The 2,364-nt window shown below is 39.2% G+C and overlaps 1 annotated feature.

Annotated features, from left to right (window-relative positions):
• Positions 566–754: a silencer, noted in NCBI's record as "fragment chr6:82299236-82299424 (GRCh37/hg19 assembly coordinates)". NCBI's record gives its function as "represses an EF-1alpha promoter that drives an FKBP-Casp9 reporter gene in an ReSE screen in phorbol 12-myristate 13-acetate-treated (for megakaryocytic differentiation) K562 erythroleukemia cells {active_cell/tissue: K562(+PMA)}" and the evidence as "EXISTENCE:reporter gene assay evidence [ECO:0000049][PMID:32094911]".

The following is a 2,364-nucleotide window of genomic DNA, read 5'->3' as shown; positions in this document are numbered from 1 at the left end:
CAGTTTCAGGTGTTTCTATTCATTGGGAGATGGCCGTTCCCTGTTGCCAGCTGCAGCCAATTATTATTTTAGAGACGCAGTTTAACAACCTCCTGACCATGACCTGATGGTTGCCTGACATTCCTGGTGTGCGTGGGGGCCCTCTGCTGCCCTGCTCATGTCAGACTACCTACCTACTGTAACAACAGTAGTTCTATTGTGGTACATTGCATTTATTCAACCATATTTCTTAGATTGCTAAGTTTACAAACAATAAAAGATTAAATGATAAGCTATTATTAAAGATAAATAAAATGAACTAGAGCAAATAGGATTGAAAGTTGAGCATATGAAAGAGCAAACATTCTGCAGTAGGAAAGAACAAGGGTTGTTATCTGAACTGAAATGTCTAAAGCTGTTCACAAATTCCTTTTGTGCCTGAAGTAATGAAGAGGATTTCTTCTTGGGAAAGATATATTCTAGGCTTAAATTAGGAGAATGAAACCCTTAACAAATTTCTGAAGTCAGAGAAGTTATATGTTAAACACATACAGGCCTTCAGGCAGACAGTCTGCAAAACAAGGAGAAAACAAAAGGGTGCTCATGGTTTTCCCCAGTGCCATTGCCCTGGAGGCCATCTGGTGGAGCATAACATGAGCATAGCTGGACTCCAGCACCAGCTTTGAGACTTTACACGGTTTACTTGCCACTATGGGACTGATACCCAGGCCTTACTACCCAGCAAAATTAAATCCCTTTTGGGACAAGATTAGAAGGTAAATTTAATAAACAAAAGTGCTTCTGCACATATTACCCTGAGGTTCTATGGAAAGTCTCAGTGGCAGTGTCTAACAGCATCTAAGTGTGAAGCACATAAACTTTGTTTTATTTTGTTTTAAATTAAGACTATTTTTTCAGAGCAGTTTTAGGTTTATAGAAAAACTGAGCACGAAGTACAGAGAATACTCATATACTCCATCTATCCCACCCACAGTTGCCCGTTTTTAACATTTTGCGTAGTTATGGCACATTTGTTACAATTGATAAACCACTACTGATATATTATTATTAACTAATAATAATTTACATTAGGGTTCACCCTTTGTGTTTTACAGTCCTATGGGTGTTTTTGTTTGTTTTGTTTTGTTTTTGACGGAATCTCATTCTGTCGCCCAGGCTGGATTGCAGTGGCGCAATTTCAGCTCACTGCAACTTCTGCCTACCAGGTTCAAGCGAGTCTCCTTCCTCAGCCTCCCGAGTGGCTGGGACTACAGGTGCGTGCCACCACACCCGGCTAACTTTTTGTGTTTTTTTAGTAGAGACGGAGTTTCACTGTGTTAGCCAGGATGGTCTCGATCTCCTGACCTCGTGATCTGCCCACCTCGGCGTCCCAAAGTGCTGGGATTATAGGAGTGAGCCCAGCCCAGTCCTATGGCTTTTGATTATTTCATATATCCACCATTGCAACACCATACAGAATAGTTTCACCATCCTAAAAATTCCCTGTATTCTACCTATTCATCCTGCTCCTTTCCCCTTAATCCCTGGCAACCACAGATCTTTACTGTCTCCATAGTTTTACCTTTTCTAAAATGTCATATAGCTGGAATCAGAAAGAATGTAACATTTTCAGATTGGCTTCTTTCACTTAGTAATATACATTTAAGTTTCTTTCATGCCTTTCTGTGGCTTGATAACTCACTTCTGTCTATTGCTGAGTAATATTTTATGTAAGGATGTAGCACAGTTTGTTTATCTATTTGCCTATTAAAGAACATCTTGTGTGATTCCAATTTTGGACAATTATAAATACAGCTGCTATAAACATCTGTGTGCAGATTTTTGTGTGTGTGTGGGTATAGGCGTTCAACTCATCTGCTTACCTAGGAGCATGATTGTTAGATCAAATGGTAAGACTACATTTGGCTTTGTAAAAAATGCCAAACTTTCTTGGCCAAAATGCCAAAAAGCTGAACAGTACCCAGTATCTCACCCCAGCTCCCTTTCCAAAAGCACATGCAGGTCTCATTTCTTTAGGACCCTAACCCAAACTAATGACAGATAACACAGATATGAATTCAGGTACTGTTCTTTGTACAATTAACTTCCACAGATTTTTTTTCCATTCAATCTTAAACACTTATCTGATGAGAGTTTATTTTCCCCAATTTGAAGATGAGGAAACTGAGTTTTAGCCAAAGTTTGTGCAGTTAATTAGTGGTATAGATAAACTAGACACACCTCAATCATTTAAAGTCTCATCTGGAATAAGGAGAAATACAAGTTAAATAAGCATACAAGTAAACCAGCTACTTCTCCCAATTCAACCTGGAAGTTGTAATGACAAACTTGGCTGACATGTGGCTCTTCCAGATAACATCACCA

The sequence above is a fragment of the Homo sapiens genome, chromosome 6, assembly GCF_000001405.40.
Source record: "Homo sapiens chromosome 6, GRCh38.p14 Primary Assembly".
Classification (NCBI taxonomy): Eukaryota; Metazoa; Chordata; class Mammalia; order Primates; family Hominidae; genus Homo; species Homo sapiens.
The sequence above is the reverse complement of the archived record's forward strand: the minus strand, read 5'-3'. Positions and strand labels throughout refer to the sequence as shown.